The sequence below is a fragment of the Homo sapiens genome, chromosome X (genome assembly GCF_000001405.40).
Source record: "Homo sapiens chromosome X, GRCh38.p14 Primary Assembly".
NCBI classification, from domain to species: Eukaryota; Metazoa; Chordata; class Mammalia; order Primates; family Hominidae; genus Homo; species Homo sapiens.
The window spans coordinates 486,693-502,715 of NC_000023.11; the positions used below are offsets into that span (position 1 = coordinate 486,693).

General features: G+C 49.4%; 5 annotated features.

Moving 5' to 3' along the window:
* Window positions 12,852–13,237: an enhancer, noted in NCBI's record as "CNE-3 PCR-amplified reporter construct fragment". NCBI's record gives its function as "activates a SHOX promoter by reporter assays in human U2OS osteosarcoma cells {active_cell/tissue: U2OS}" and the evidence as "EXISTENCE:reporter gene assay evidence [ECO:0000049][PMID:26631348]".
* Window positions 12,852–13,651: a biological region, named in NCBI's record as "CNE-3 enhancer upstream of SHOX". NCBI's record gives its function as "regulatory_interactions: SHOX".
* Window positions 12,853–13,237: an enhancer, noted in NCBI's record as "CNE-3 PCR-amplified reporter construct fragment". NCBI's record gives its function as "activates a beta-globin promoter by in ovo reporter assays in chicken limb buds {active_cell/tissue: limb bud}" and the evidence as "EXISTENCE:reporter gene assay evidence [ECO:0000049][PMID:19997128]".
* Window positions 13,084–13,651: an enhancer, noted in NCBI's record as "H3K27ac-H3K4me1 hESC enhancer chrX:460511-461078 (GRCh37/hg19 assembly coordinates)". NCBI's record gives its function as "activates a minimal SCP1, AML or CMV promoter by ChIP-STARR-seq in primed H9 embryonic stem cells {active_cell/tissue: H9 hESC(primed)}" and the evidence as "EXISTENCE:reporter gene assay evidence [ECO:0000049][PMID:30033119]".
* Window positions 13,652–14,218: an enhancer, noted in NCBI's record as "H3K27ac-H3K4me1 hESC enhancer chrX:461079-461645 (GRCh37/hg19 assembly coordinates)". NCBI's record gives its function as "activates a minimal SCP1, AML or CMV promoter by ChIP-STARR-seq in primed H9 embryonic stem cells {active_cell/tissue: H9 hESC(primed)}" and the evidence as "EXISTENCE:reporter gene assay evidence [ECO:0000049][PMID:30033119]".

The window sequence follows — 16,023 nt, forward strand, 5'->3', positions numbered from 1 at the left end:
AATTTCTTCCATTGTTTTTATTCTTGGAAAGTACTTCTGAATGTAGAGATGTAATATTCACCTACATTTTTTTTGTTTTTTTTGGGACAGGGTCTTGCTCTGTCACCCAGGCTGGAGTGCAGTGGCGTGATCTTGGCTCACTGCAACCTCTGCCTCCCGGGTTCAAGCCTTGCCTCAGCCTCCCAAGTAGCTGGAATTACAGGCATGCACCATCATGCCCAGCTAATTTTTGTATTTTTAGTAAAGATGGGGTTTCACCATGTTGGTCAGGCTGGTCTCGAACTGCTGACCTCAGGTGATTTGCCTGCCTCGGCCTCCCAAAGTGCTGGGATTACAGGCATGAGCCACCGCGCCCGGCCCTTCATGTACATTTGAAGCTACATTTCATGACTTAATTTTTATTTATTTATTTTGAGATGGAGTCTGGCTCTGTTGTCCAGGCTGAAGTGCAGTGGTACAATCTCGGCTCACTGCAACCTCTGCCTCCCTGGTTCACGCCATTCTCCTGCCTCAGTCTCCTGAGTAGCTGGGACTACAGGCGCCCACCACCACGTCCAGATAATTTTTTGTATTATTTAGTAGAGACGGGGTTTCACCGCATTAGCCAGGATGGTCTCAATCTCCTGACCTCGTGATCCACCTGTCTCAGCTTCCCAAAGCGCTGGGATTACAGGCATGAGCCACTGTGTGCTGGGATTACAGGCATGAGCCACTGTGTCTGGCCATGTACTTTTAAAACACAGTAATTGGCCAGGCATGGTGGCTCATGCCTGTAATCCCAGCACTTTGGGAGGCCAAGGCAGGAGGATTGCCAGAGGCCAGGCATTCAAGACCAGCCTGGGCAACTTAGGGAGACCCTATCTTTACAAAAAATAAAAATAAAAAAAGTAGCCAGGTGTGGTGTCCCTTGTCTGTGGTCTCAGCTACTCAGGGAGGCAGAGGTTGCAGTGAGCTGTGGTCTCAGCTTGTCTGTGGTCTCAGCTACTCAGGGAGGCTGAAGTGGGAGGATTGCTTGAGCCCAGGAGTTGGAGGCTGCAATGAGCCAAGATTGCACCACCGCCCTCCAGCCTGGGCAGCAGACAGAGACCCTGTAAGAAACACAAAGAGAAAGAGAAGAAAGAGACAGGATGGAAGGAAGGAAGGAAGGAAGGAAGGAAGGAAGGAAGGAAGGAAGGAAAAAGAAGAAAGAAAGAAAGAAAGAAGAAAAGGAAGGAAGGAAAAAGAAAGAGACAGAGGGGAAGAAAGGAATGAAAGAAGAAAAAAGAAAGTAAGAGAAAGAAAAGAAAGAAAGAGGAAGAAAGGAAGGAAGGAAAAAAGAAAGAAAGAGACAGGAAGAAAGGAAGGAAAGAAGGAAAAAAGAAAGACAAGAAAAAGAAACGAAGGGAAAGGAAGAAAGGAAGGAAGGAAGAAAGAAAAGAAAGACAAAGACAGAAAGGAAGAAAGGAAGGAAGGAAGGAAAAAGAAATGAAAGAAAAGAAAGAGAAAAGAGAGACAAAAAGGCTGTAAGAAAGGAAAAGCAATGATGCCTCATACTGGATTAAGTTACCCATGAAATCTAAGCTTGGTTCCTTAAGCCTCGCCTCTTTGAAGAGGAATCCAATTCTGAAATGAATGACACTTTTGGGGGGCCTCATGCCGTGGGGAGCTTAGATTGTCTTTGAAACTGGCCTCTGAGTTGAAATTCCAGGTCCTACCCTTTCCTGCTCAGTCCTCAGACAATTTATAAAACTTGCCTAAACTCACATTTTTATCTGGTAATTTGTGACTTGCAGAATGAACGCAAGAAAACAGAGACGACATTGTAAAGTAGCTGGCCATCGTATTTTTCTTGGAAGAGACAGTATCCTTAAATTAATGCTAATATTTTAAACACTGGCCCACTGATCATGAACACCCAATTCCTGGGTTCCTTGAAATATTTTTGGAAGGGGCGGCCAACCCGTGCCTTCATTCTTGCCCAACACCAGTGGGCTGGATGGGATGTTCGCCGCAGTCTCCACTGCTCCCCGATGTCTCTCTCACATCAGGCCTGCCTTACTGACCTGACCTGCCTCCTCCTGCAAGCATTTGAGTCTGGAATTTTTTTGATGTGCAGAAACAATGCCTGTAAAACACCCAGTACAGGGGTGCTGAAGACATGTTCGTTCAACATGAGCTGAAGCATTCTTAGAGGCAGGTGCTGGTACACCCACATGCACTGGAGACTCTGAGATGAGCATTGCAGACTCTGAGATGTGCACTGGAGATTCTGAATGGGCATTGGAGACTCTGAGATGGACACTGGAGGCTCTGAGCTGTGCTTTGGAGATTCTGAGATGCGCATTGGAGACTCTGAGGTGTGCATTGGAGACTCTGAGATGGACACTGGAGGCTCTGAGCTGTGCTTTGGAGATTCTGAGATGTGCATTGGAGACTCTGAGCTGTGCTTTGGAGATTCTGAGATGTGCATTGGAGACTCTGAGATGGGCACTGGAGACTAAGATGTGCATTGGAGACTCTGAGGTGTGCTTTGGAGACTCTGAGATGTGCTTTGGAGACTCTGAGATGTGCTTTGGAGACTCTGAGGTGTCCATTGGAGACTCTCAGATGTGCATTGGAGACTCTGAGATGGGCATTGGAGATTCTGAGCTGTGCTTTGGAGACTCTGAGATGGGCACTGGAGATTCTGAGATGTGCATTGGAGACTCTGAGATGGGCACTGGAGACTAAGATGTGCATTGGAGACTCTGAGGTGTGCTTTGGAGACTCTGAGATGTGCTTTGGAGACTCTGAGGTGTCCATTGGAGACTCTCAGATGTGCATTGGAGACTCTGAGATGGGCATTGGAGATTCTGAGCTGTGCTTTGGAGACTCTGAGATGGGCACTGGAGACTCTGAGATGTGCATTGGAGACTCTGAGATGGGCACTGGAGACTCTGACGTGTGCTTTGGAGACTCTGAGATGGGCATTGGAGACCCTGAGGTGTGCATTGGAGACTCTGACGTGGGCATTGGAGACTGAGATGGGCATTGGAGACTCTGAGATGTGCTTTGGAGATTCCGATATGTGCATTGGAGACCCTGAGGTGTGCACTGCAGACACTGAGGTGTGCATTGGACACTCTGACGTGGGCACTGGAGACTGAGATGGGTACGGGAGACTCTGAGGTGTGCATTGCAGACTCTGAGGTGTGCTTTAGAGACTGTGAGATGGGCACTGCAGAGGCTGAGGTGTGCTTTGGACACTCTGGTGTTCCAGTATGATGTGATTGCTTTTCAGAGCGGCAGACAGGATGTCCAGCTGGAGCCGGCCAGCAGCAGGACGCTGACTGCGTGAGTGATGCAGCCGCGATTGGTGTTGACGGCCGGCGCGGAACACTCCATCTACATGCAGGTGCTAAGTGAGCCCTGGGGAGAAGGTGACCTGAATACTTGCCAACTGTTCTTTAGAAATTTCTTTAAATGGAAAATATGATTTAGGCAATGTTAAAAAAAAAAAACAAAACCAGACAGAGTCCCAGGATATTAGCACATGGCTCAGAAGACCGGACGCAGAAGGAGGAAAAGTCATGCTCTTTGCCAAGCCCAGTGCTAACTAGACCTTAAACCTGGGCGAATGCACCCATAACGTGGGTGTCTCCACGCCTTCCGTGCAAACTGTGTGTATTTGACAGATGAATGGTTTGTCTCTGGGATGATACTTTTCTGACAGTGCAGCCTGCAGATAACATCTAACGAGGGGAGAAGGATTATGTGAGCAGTGGTGGCTGAGGTCTCTCTCTCTCTCTCTCTCTTTTTTTTTTTTTTTTTGAGATGGAGTTTCACTCTTGTTGTCCAAGCTGGAGTTCACTGGCGTGATCTCGGCTCACAGCAACCTCTGCCTCCCGGGTTCAAGCGATTCTCTTGCCTCAGCCTCCCAAGTAGCTGGGATTACAAGCATGTGCCACCATGCCCAACTAATTTTGTATTTTGTATTTTTCTTTCTTTCTTTCTTTTTTTTTTGAGATGGAGTCTCGCTCTGTCGCCCAGGCTGGAGTGCAGTGGCGCGATCTCGGCTAACTGCAACCTCTGCCTCCCGGGTTCACACCATTCTCCTGCCTCAGCCTCCCGAGTCGCTGGGACTACAGGTACCCGCCACTGCACCCGGCTAATTTTTTGTATTTTTAGAAGAGACGGGGTTTCACCGTGTTAGCCAGGATGGTCTCGATCTCCTGACCTCGTGATCCGCCCGCCTCGGCCTCTCAGAGTGCTGGGACTACAGGCGTGAGCCACCGTGCCCGACTTTTTTTTTTTTTTTTTTTTTTTTTTAGTAAAGACAGGGTTTCTCCATATTGGCCAGGCTGGTCTTGAACTCTTGACCTCAGGTGATGCACCTGCCTTGGCCTCCCAAAGTGCTGGGATTACAAGCGTGAGTCACTGCGCCCGGCCCGAGGTGTCTTATGAGTGGGCAGTGGACTGTGGCTCAGCTCTGGCCCACCTGAAGGTGAAGAGAGGTGGCTTTCTGGCCCTGGGATTAGTCCTGCCTTGTACAAATCTCCACCTCCGAAGGAAGGAAGAACAAGGGATTTATAGAGATGCCTTTGGGAGCTTCAGAAGAAAGAGGGTGTAATCTTGCTGGTTGATATAATTTTGGATGAAGGCACTGTCCTCCAAGCTCACAAACACACAGGACCAGAGAGAAGGACGGAGGAGATGGGGTTTCAGCGAGGGAGGTGGGAGAACAGGCCTGGCCTGTTGGGGGTAGAACGTAGAAGAAAAGGGCAATCTGAGAGATGAACAGGGGACGGTATTAAGTGCGTGCCCCCACACACATGCGCACATGTCCGGAAGGCAAGCACACACCCACCGTCATGAGCCCTCACGTGCAGGTGCATGCACGCATTCTTGCAAACCCCACACATGCACACAAGCCCATATGCATATATGTGTACAGAAGGCAAGCACACATTCACAGTCATGAGCCCTCACGTGCAGGTGCATGCACGCATTCTTGCAAGCCCCACACATGCACACAAGTGCATATGCATATACATGTACAGAAGGCAAGCACACACAGCCATGAGCCCTCACGTGCAGGTGCATGCATGCATTCTTGCAAACCCCACACATGCACACAAGCCCATATGCATATATGTGTACAGAAGTCAAGCACACACTGATAGTCATGAGCGCTCACATACAACTGCATGCATGCATTCATTCAAGCTCCCACATGCACAGATGCACACAGGTATCTCTGCACAGAGGTGTACAGAAGGCAAGCACACATTCAGTCATGAGCCCTCACGTGCAGGTGCATGCACGCATTCTTGCAAACCCCACACATGCACACAAGCCCATATGCATATATGTGTACAGAAGGCAAGCACACACCCACAGCCATGAGCCCTCACGTGCAGGTGCATGCATGCATTCATTCAAGCCTCCACATGCACACAAGCCCATATGCATATATGTGTACAGAAGGCAAGCACACATTCACAGTCATGAGCCCTCACGTGCAGGTGCATGCACGCATTCTTGCAAGCCCCACACATGCACACAAGCCCATATGCATATATGTGTACAGAAGGCAAGCACACACTGATAGTCATGAGCGCTCACATACAACTGCATGCATGCATTCATTCAAGCCCCCACATGCACAGATGCACACAGGTATCTCTGCACAGAGGTGTACAGAAGGCAAGCACACATTCACAGTCATGAGCCCTCACGTGCAGGTGCATGCACGCATTCTTGCAAACCCCACACATGCACACAAGCTCATATGCATATACGTGTACAGAAGGCAAGCACACACCCACAGCCATGAGCCCTCACGTGCAGGTGCATGCATGCATTCTTGCAAACCTCACACATGCACCCAAGCCCATATGCATATATGTGTACAGAAGGCAAGCACACATTCACAGTCATGAGCCCTCATGTGCAGGTGCATGCACGCATTCTTGCAAGCCTCACACATGCACACAAGCACATATGCATATACGTGTACAGAAGGCAAGCACACATTCACAGTCATGAGCCCTCACATGCAGGCGCATGCACGCATTCTTGCAAGCCCCACACATGCACACAAGCACATATGCATATACATGTACAGAAGGCAAGCACACACAGCCATGAGCCCTCACGTGCAGGTGCATGCATGCATTCTTGCAAACCCCACACATGCACACAAGCCCATATGCATATATTTGTACAGAAGTCAAGCACACACTGATAGTCATGAGCGCTCACATACAACTGCATGCATGCATTCATTCAAGCTCCCACATGCACAGATGCACACAAGTATCTCTGCACAGAGGTGTACAGAAGGCAAGCACACATTCAGTCATGAGCCCTCACGTGCAGGTGCATGCACGCATTCTTGCAAACCCCACACATGCACACAAGCCCATATGCATATATGTGTACAGAAGGCAAGCACACATTCACAGTCATGAGCCCTCACGTGCAGGTGCATGCACGCATTCTTGCAAGCCTCACACATGCACACAAGCCCATATGCATATACGTGTACAGAAGGCAAGCACACACAGCCATGAGCCCTCACATGCAAATGCACATGCACATACACGCACAATGCAAAGCACACACTCCTAGTTTTGTGCATTCACTGTGTATGTGTGTCTGCATGTGCTCATGCGCCCTGATCCATGTGTGACTGTGTATGTGTGTGTCTGTGTGTTGTGCGCACTGATCTGTGTTACTGTTTATGTGTGTGAGTCTGCAGACACACACATACACAGTCGCACAGGGATCAGTGCGCATGAGTACACAGACACACACATACACAGTCACACACATGTGCACACACCCACAGGTAGAAACGTGCACCCACACACATCTATTTTCATGGCAACAGTCACACACAGATCAGTGCATGTGAGTATAGATACAGACTCACACACATACACAGACACACACGGATCAGTGCGCATGAGCACACACAGACTCACACACATTAACAGTCGCACACAGATCACCTGAGGCCAGGAGTTGGAGACCAGTCTGGCCAACACGGCAAAACCTGCCTCTACAAAAAATACAAAAGTTAGCCAGGTGCGTTGGCGTGCACCTGTCATCCCAGCTACTCAGGAGGCTGAAACAGGAGAAACGCTTGAACCCAGGAGGTGGAGGTTGCAGTGAGCTGAGATCACACCACTGCACTCAAGCCTGGGCGACAAAGCGAGACTCCGTCTCAAAGAAAAAAAAAAAGAAAGAAAAAGAAAAAAGGGACGCGCTGGGCAAGGGGAAGTTGTTAGAAGCCCTGAGTCCCACACATGAGGGTCCTGACAACTTTTCTTCGTGATTCCGTATTTTAAAAGTAAATCTCCTTTCTGGGAACTTTTAATACCATTTTGGTTACGCGTCTAATCCACCTGCTCCTTAACCAGAAATGGTAATCACGTGGAAATCACTGCCAAACTATGATGTCCAATTAAAATTCAGGTTATTTTGTGGGAGGCAAACGCACCCCCCAGCCTCTCTCTTTTTAAACCGTCATCTTACAAATCCTCTGATAGAAAGTTCGGGCTGTTTTGAGGGAGAGCTTGTCATCAAGAGCCATCTGGCTTCCTCAGTCATGACAGATTAAAATAGGATACAGTATGAAAGCTTTGCCACCCCTCCAGGGGCGAAAGAAGTCACTGGGGGAAAGAGGTAATTAAAAGATCCCCTTGCAGAGACGGGCTCTGAGAGGGACCCTGGCACTCACCAACGGCAAAAAACTCATTTTCCAGAAGAGAGCAGGCCCCGGCCGGCCGGACATCGATGGCCTCGGAGCCACTCTGTCTCCTTTGGGGACGAAGGTGGGCTGGCTCTCGTAACCCCTTAGCTTTGTCTGGCCAGCACCCTTGGCTTTGTCTGGCCAGCACCCTTCTCTCCGTCTGGCCAGCACCCTTCTCTCCTCCTGTCCATGGCCATCAAGCGGCCAGGACTTGATAGCCGTGGAAATTGCACCTGATGAAATGGACGTAATGAGTGTCATGAAGAAACAGGATTGTTTCTCCCCAAAACAGGAGGTCGCAAGGATGTCTCGATTTTCAAAGCCTGCAAGGAAAAAAGGTGACATTCCCCGTCGTGGGACATCCCCTCGCAAGGAGCCGACTCATGATTCCCACCTAGATAGTAAATACCACTCACGCCTGTCATCCCAGAGCTTTGGGAGGCGGAGGCGGGCGGATCATGAGGTCAGGAGATCGAGACCATCCTGGCTAATACGGTGAAACCCCGTCTCTACTAAAAATACAAAAATTAGCTGGGTGTGGTGGTGGGTGCCTGTAATCCCAGCTACTCGGGAGGCCGAGGCAGGAGAATCGCTTGAACCTGGGAGGTGGACAATGCAGTGAGCCGAGATCTCACCACTGCACTCCAGCCTGGGTGACAGGGCGAGACTCCATCTCAAACAAACAAACCACTCTGGGGTCTGCGTGTGCTGCCTGCGTAGGAAACACTTCCCCATTGTGAATGGGCACCTGTCACACCGTCCCGGTTACCGCTCCGTAACTGACACGAACGATGCCGGAGAGCTGGGAGCTGGGAGCTGGGTGCCCAGCCTTGGAGGCGTGCTCCAAACCACACCTCCCTTTTGAGCTTGGCTGGTATGTAAACGATTGGAAGGATAGTTAATCAAGCAATTCCTCCATCTCACCTAAGTGAACCCAGAGATATTTATTTTCTCTCTCTATAAAGGTGTTCACTCCCCAACTGTTTTTTTTTCTTAAAATGCAGATGGGATCTTGCTACGTGGCACAGGCTGGTCTCAAACTCCTGGGCTTAAGAGATCATCTCACCTTGGCCTCCCAAGTAGCTGGAACTGCAGGGGCACGCCACCACACCTGGCTAATATGTATATATTTTATATATTACATACATATTATATATGACACATATTATATATACTACAGATATATATGTTATATTACATACATAATATACCATATACATTATATTGCATATATAATATACATTATACTACACATAATATGTAATATATTACATATATAAAATATAAAATATATAATGTACACATACATAACTTACATATCACATATATAACACATATATAATATGCAATATAATATACATGTAATATCTAATATATGTAATATATGCAATATTTATATACATGTAATATATGCAATATATATTTTCATATTATATTTTTATATATAAACCTATATTTATAATATATATAAACCTATATTTATATATAATATATAAACCTATATTTATATTAATATATAAACATATTTATATATATTTTTATATTATATATAAACCTACAAATATATATTTATATATATATATATTTTTTTCAGATGGAGACTCCCTCTGTCACCCAGGCTGGAGTGCAATGGCGTGGTCTTGGTTCACTGCAACCTCCACCTCCCAGGTTAGAGATTTTATATATAAAAAATATATAGCTGGAACTGCAGGTTCGAGTGATTCTCTTGCCTCAGCCTCCCCAGTAGCTGGGATTACAGGCGCCCGCCACCACGCCCAACTCATTTTTGTATTTTTAGTAGAGATGGGGTTTCACCATGTTGGCCAGGCTGGTCTCGAACTCCTGACCTCAGGGGATCCACCCGCCTCAGCCTCCCAAAGTGCTGGGATTACAGGCGTGAGCCACCGTGCCCAGCCCAAAGTGATTTTTTTTTTAACTGTCTCTGCCAGCAGACAACCGTTTTAGAGAAATTCGGTGTTTTTTTGTTTTTTTGTTTTTTTTGATGGAGTTTCGCTCTTGTTGCCCAGGCTGGAGTGCAGTGGTGAGATCTCGGTTCACTGCAACCTCCGCCTCCCGGGTTCAGGCGATTCTCCTGCCTCAGCCTCCCGAGTAGCTGGAATTACAGGCGCCCGCCACCACGCCTGGCTCATTTTTGTATTTTTAGTAGAGACGGGGTTTCACCATGTTGGCCAGGATGGTCTGGAGCTCCTGGCCTCAGGGGATCCACCCGCCTCGGCCTCCCAAAGTGCTGGGATGACAGGCATGAGCCACCATGCGCAGCCCAAAGTGACTTTTTTTAACCGTCTCTGCCAGCAGACAACCGTTTTAGAGAAATTCAGTTTTTTTAAATTTTTTTTGAGCGCGTTACATTCCTGAGCTGCTGTCTGGGGCTGTCAAAGCCACGTTGCTCACCTGACCAGGTAAGTCTTGGCTTGGACTGTTTCCCAGGACAAATAACAGGTGTTTTCTCCCATTCCCTGCCCTGAGACATGGGAGTGTCTTTGCTGGAATTATAGCAACTGTGAGCCTCTTCCTGGCCGTCCTGTCGCCTTGGAGTCTTAAGGGAAGGCGCACACGTTATCACAAAGCATATGCATTTGCCCCTGGGCCCCAGAGGTGCTGGATTATGGGGGTACAGGGAAAAGTCTGTCCACACCCCAGTCTTCTGGGATCCATAGGCCAGGGAGAAATCCTCCTTCTGTCTCCGAGAGTCTGACAGAGACAGCATGTCATTATCTTAACAGCTGTAAATCCCAATTATTTCTGAGGCAGAAAATGCACTCTAAAATATGCATGCTTATTTAAAAAAAGAGAAAGAAAAAAAAAACCCTCAAAGATTGCAGTCGTGTTGCTATAATTTAGAGCCCTAAACCTCAGAACCTCCGGATGAGTCTTCGGCTTGATATTGTGAGACCGGCTCTTTCAATCTTGGAGGGATATCTCAGCAAATGCTCCTCTTCCCGTTCTCTGCAAGTGGGGGGAAACCGCCGCTGACCCACGGGGTGACACGCAGCTGAATCATTCCAAAGGGAACCGGGGGCCGGATTGATCTGCGTTGGTCGCTAACGAAGGCTCGTAGGCAAAGCTCAGCGAAGTGGGCTCGGCGGACACAGGGTGGGCTCGGGGCCCCGGGGCCGGGCCTGCTGGTGGAGGCTGGGGATGTCTTTTTGATTTTGTCGTTAGGAAGCCGTACCGTAGTCTCTCCGAGGCGTTGGGTGAAATTCACAGATTTCATCTTCCGTGAACTGTGGCTCACTTTTTGATATATATATATATATTTTTTCCCCCGATTGCTTGATGTCACCCTGTGCTTTTTCCATAAGACAAATGCAAATGAGCCAGGCATTCTAACGAGGCGAGCCCTCGGAGGTGACCTCTTTCTGGGGAAGCTCCGGTCTGCAAAACCACGATGAGAGAGGAAAACGTTTTTTTTTTTTTTTGCAGAGAAAACTCAGGCCTGCTGTTTAATCAGGGCCTTTGCTGCGGCCGCTGCTCCTGCAGACACAGAGGCGTTAATGAGGCAAGACTAGTCCCCATGTCCCCACGTTGGAGGCCTGGGATGAGGATCCCTTCTCTGTCCCCCATGTCTGCATCCCAGGACGCAGGTGGATCCGAGTCTGCTGCATAGACGGCCATTAGGTCCCAGGATGGAGCTGGATTCGAGCCTGCTGTGTAGACGGCCATTAGGTCCCAGTCCCAGGATGGAGCCGGATTCAAGCCTGCTATGTAGATGGCTATTAGGTCCCAGGATGCAGGTGGATCTGAGTCTGCTGCATAGAAGGCCATTAGGTCCCAGGATGGAGCTGGATTCGAGCCTGCTGTGTAGACAGCCATTAGGTCCCGGGATGCAGCTACATCTGAGCCTGCTGCATAGATGGCCATTAGGTCCTGGGATGGAGCTGCATTGGACCCTGCTGTGTAGACAGCCATTAGGTCCCAGGATGCAGCTACATCTGAGCCTGCTGCATAGATGGCCATTAGGTCCTGGGACGGAGCTGCATTGGACCCTGCTGTGTAGAGAGCCATTAGGTCCTGGGATGTAGCTGCATCCGAGTCTGCTGTGTAGACGGCCATTAGGTCCCAGTCCCAGGATGGAGCTGGAGTTGAGCCTGCTATGTAGATGGCTATTAGGTCCCAGGACGCAGGTGGATCCGAGTCTGCTGCATAGATGGCCATTAGGTCCCAGGATGGAGCTGGATTCGAGCCTGCTGTGTAGACGGCCATTAGGTCCCAGTCCCAGGATGGAGCTGGAGTGGAGCCTGCTATGTAGATGGCTATTAGGTCCCAGGACGCAGGTGGATCCGAGTCTGCTGCATAGATGGCCATTAGGTCCCAGGATGGAGCTGGATTCGAGCCTGCTATGTAGATGGCTATTAGGTCTCGGGATGCAGCTACATCTGAGCCTGCTGCATAGACGGCCATTAGGTCCTGGGACAGAGCTGCATTGGACCCTGCTGTGTAGACAGCCATTAGGTCCCAGGATGTAGCTGCATCCGAGTCTGCTGCATAGATGGCCATTAGGTCCCAGTCCCAGGATGGAGCTGGATTCGAGCCTGCTGTGTAGACGGCCATTAGGTCCCAGTCCCAGGATGGAGCTGGAGTCGAGCCTGCTGTGTAGACGGCCATTAGGTCCCAGTCCCAGGATGGAGCTGGATTCGAGCCTGCTATGTAGATGGCTATTAGGTCCCGGGATGCAGCTACATCTGAGCCTGCTGCATAGACGGCCATTAAGTCCTGGGACGGAGCTGCATTGGACCCTGCTGTGTAGACAGCTATTAGGTCCCGGGATGCAGCTACATCTGAGCCTGCTGCATGGACGGCCATTAGGTCCTGGGATGGAGCTGCATTGGACCCTGCTGTGTAGACAGCCATTAGGTCCCGGGATGCAGCTGCATCTGAGTCTGCTGCATAGATGGCCATTAGATCCTGGGACGGAGCTGCATTGGACCCTGCTGTGTAGACAGCCATTAGGTCCCAGGATGTGGCTGCATCTGAGCCTGCTGTGTAGACGGCCAAAATAAATAACAAAACTGTGTTGGCAGGCGGTGACCGACAGACGAACCACTGGGCTCTCATCCCGGCCGGCCCTTTGAGTTGTTTAAGTTCCTCTTGTACTTGAATTGTTTCCCCAGAACGAGGTGGATCAAAGTGTCATACAGTAACAGCCCAGACAGACGATAGGTATGGCAGAAAAGAAAAAAACTAAAAAAAAAAAAAAAAAAAAAAATCGCATGGGAAGTTTCCCCGCCTCCTCTTTGGCCATTCTGTGCCCGGAGATCAAAGTTCTCATTTCAGCTCTAATTAAGAAAAACTAACACAGAGCCAAGGCCTTCTGGCTCCGAAGAGGGCCTTTGGTGGATCACTGCTGAAATCTTCCCGAGATTTAAATAATTAATATGACACCTTGAGCTCTGCACGGAGAAATTAAAAAAAAAAAAAACAAAAAAGGGAAAGGGAAAGGGGAGGAAGGGGGCCCCGTGTCGGAGCGGGGAACAATGGGATTGAGGATATGGCAGAGCATTTGTACCCCTGGATGCGTGCAGCCCTCCTTTGTCATGCTAAAGGGGAACCTTTATTTTCTGTGGTCACCCCGGGTGCTCAGAGCCTCTAGGAGGATCCTTTCGGAAAGCAAGTCTGCTGTGGGGAGTTGGAGGACGCTCATTTAATGCTTTTTAATCCTGTTAATCCCAGGCAGAATGGCCATCCCCAGCGCAAATCCGGTCCCCAAAGCCCTCCCCGGCTTGCCAGAGCCAGGCTCCCTCCCAGACGCTCCCGGGAAGCATCTCTTCTGCGAGCCGGCCTGTCTCTGTGCTGGGTTCCCGGAGCCATCTGAGCCAGCACAGGCGACGAGAAATTAAAATCAGGCCTGGCATTGTGCTACGTCTCTGTGCTGGGTTCCCGGAGCCATCGTGAGCCAGCAGAGGCGACAAGCAATTAAAATCAGCTGCAAATCCTACGGCCGGAGCGTCCGGGGAGTGCAGGACGGGACCAGCCAGGCCTCGAACCCCCGTCCCTCTGGATGGGGTCGAGTCTGAAGATTCCTCCTCCTGCCCAGGACTGTTCAGATCCTCGGTGGAGTGTGGACACGGATTAGTCGTCCACTGCTGCAGACGAGATCAGAGCCAAGCCTCGGTATTCAGTTCGTTACAACTTCATAAAGCCAGGTCGCTCCCCCTCTGCCTCTGTACGCAGGAAGAAAATCGATCGGTCTAATTTCATAGCTCAGCATAAAACTCGACGGAACCTTTGCAAAGGCAATGATAAAAAAGATCCCGGAAAAAGCCGACAGTCTCCACGGCATGACGGCGCGGCCGCAGCTGAATAAACTCGGGGTGGGCGGCCAACCCTGCTGCATAGACGGCCATCAGGTCCCAGGATGGAGCTGGATTCGAGCCTGCTGTGTAGACACCCATTAGGTCCTGGGACGGAGCTGGATTCGAGTCTGCTGCATAGACGGCCATTAGGTCCCGGGACGGAGCTGGATTCGAGCCTGCTGTGTAGACAGCCATTAGGTCCTGGGATGGAGTTGGATTCGAGCCTGCTGTGTAGACAGCCATTAGGTCCTGGGACAGAGCTGGATTCGAGTCTGCTGCATAGACGGCCATTATGTCCCGGGATGGAGCTGGATTCGAGCCTGCTGTGTAGACAGCCATTAGGTCCCGGGACAGAGCTGGATTCGAGTCTGCTGCATAGATGGCCATTAGGTCCCGGGATGGAGCTGGATTCGAGCCTGCTGTGTAGACAGCCATTAGGTCCTGGGATGGAGTTGGATTCGAGCCTGCTGTGTAGACAGCCATTAGGTCCCGGGACGGAGCTGGATTTGAGTCTGCTGCATAGATGGCCATGAGGTCCCAGGACGGAGCTGGATTCGAGCCTGCTGTGTAGACATCCATTAGGTCCTGAGACGGAGCTGGATTCAAGTCTGCTGCATAGACGGCCATTAGGTCCCGGGACGCAGGTGGATCCAAGTCTGCTGCATAGATGGCCATTAGGTCCCAGGATGGAGCTGGATTTGAGTCTGCTGCGTAGATGACCATTAGGTCCTAGTCCCAGGATAGAGCTGCATAGGAGCCTGCTGTGTAGACAGCCATTAGGTCCCAGTCCCAGGATGGAGCTGGAGTCGAGCCTGCTGTGTAGACAGCCATTAGGTCCCAGTCCCAGGATGGAGCTGGAGTCAAGCCTGCTGTGTAGACGGCCATTAGGTCCCAGGATGCAGGTACATCCTAGTCTGCTGCATAGACGGCCATTAGGTCCCAGTCCCAGGATGGAGCTGCATAGGAGCCTGCTGTGTAGACAGCCATTAGGTCCCAGTCCCAACACACACAAACCACAGTAAACACATACACTATGCACAACACAGATGCCACACCACACACACACAACACATAAAATACACACTACACACAAAACACCTACTGCACACAACACACAGAATACACACTACACACAGCACACACAAACCACACTAAACACATATGCTATGCACAACAAAGATGCCACACAACACACACACATAGAACACACAAAATATACACAACACACACAAACCACACTAAACACATATGCACAACACAGATGCCACAGAACACACACACATAAAACACGCAAATACATACTATACACAACACAGCACAAACCACACACTGCACACACAAATGCACACTACACACAAACCACACAAACCACACTAAACACACACACTCTGCACAGTACAAACACCACACTAAATACACATATACACAAAATACATATGACACACAAAATACATAGAAAAACACAGACTGGCCTCACAAACCACACACACTATGCACAACACAGATGCCACACCACACACACACATATAACACACAAAATACACACTACACACAGCACACACAAACCACACTAAACACATATGCACAACACAGATGCCACACAACACGCACACACCCAACACACAAAATACACACTACACACAACACACACAAACCACAGTAAACACACACTATGCACAATACAGATACCAGACAACAGACACTTACAACACACAAAATACACACTACACACAACACACACAAACCACAGTAAACACATACACTGTGCACAACAGATGCCACACAACACACACACATACAACACACAAAATACACACAAACCACACTAAACACATATTCTGTGCGCAAAACAGATGCCACATAAAACACACACATGCAACACACAAAATACCTACTACATATACACAACACTAAACACAGACGTTATGCACAACACAGATGCCACACAATACACACACAAAACACACAAATACATACTACACACAACACAAA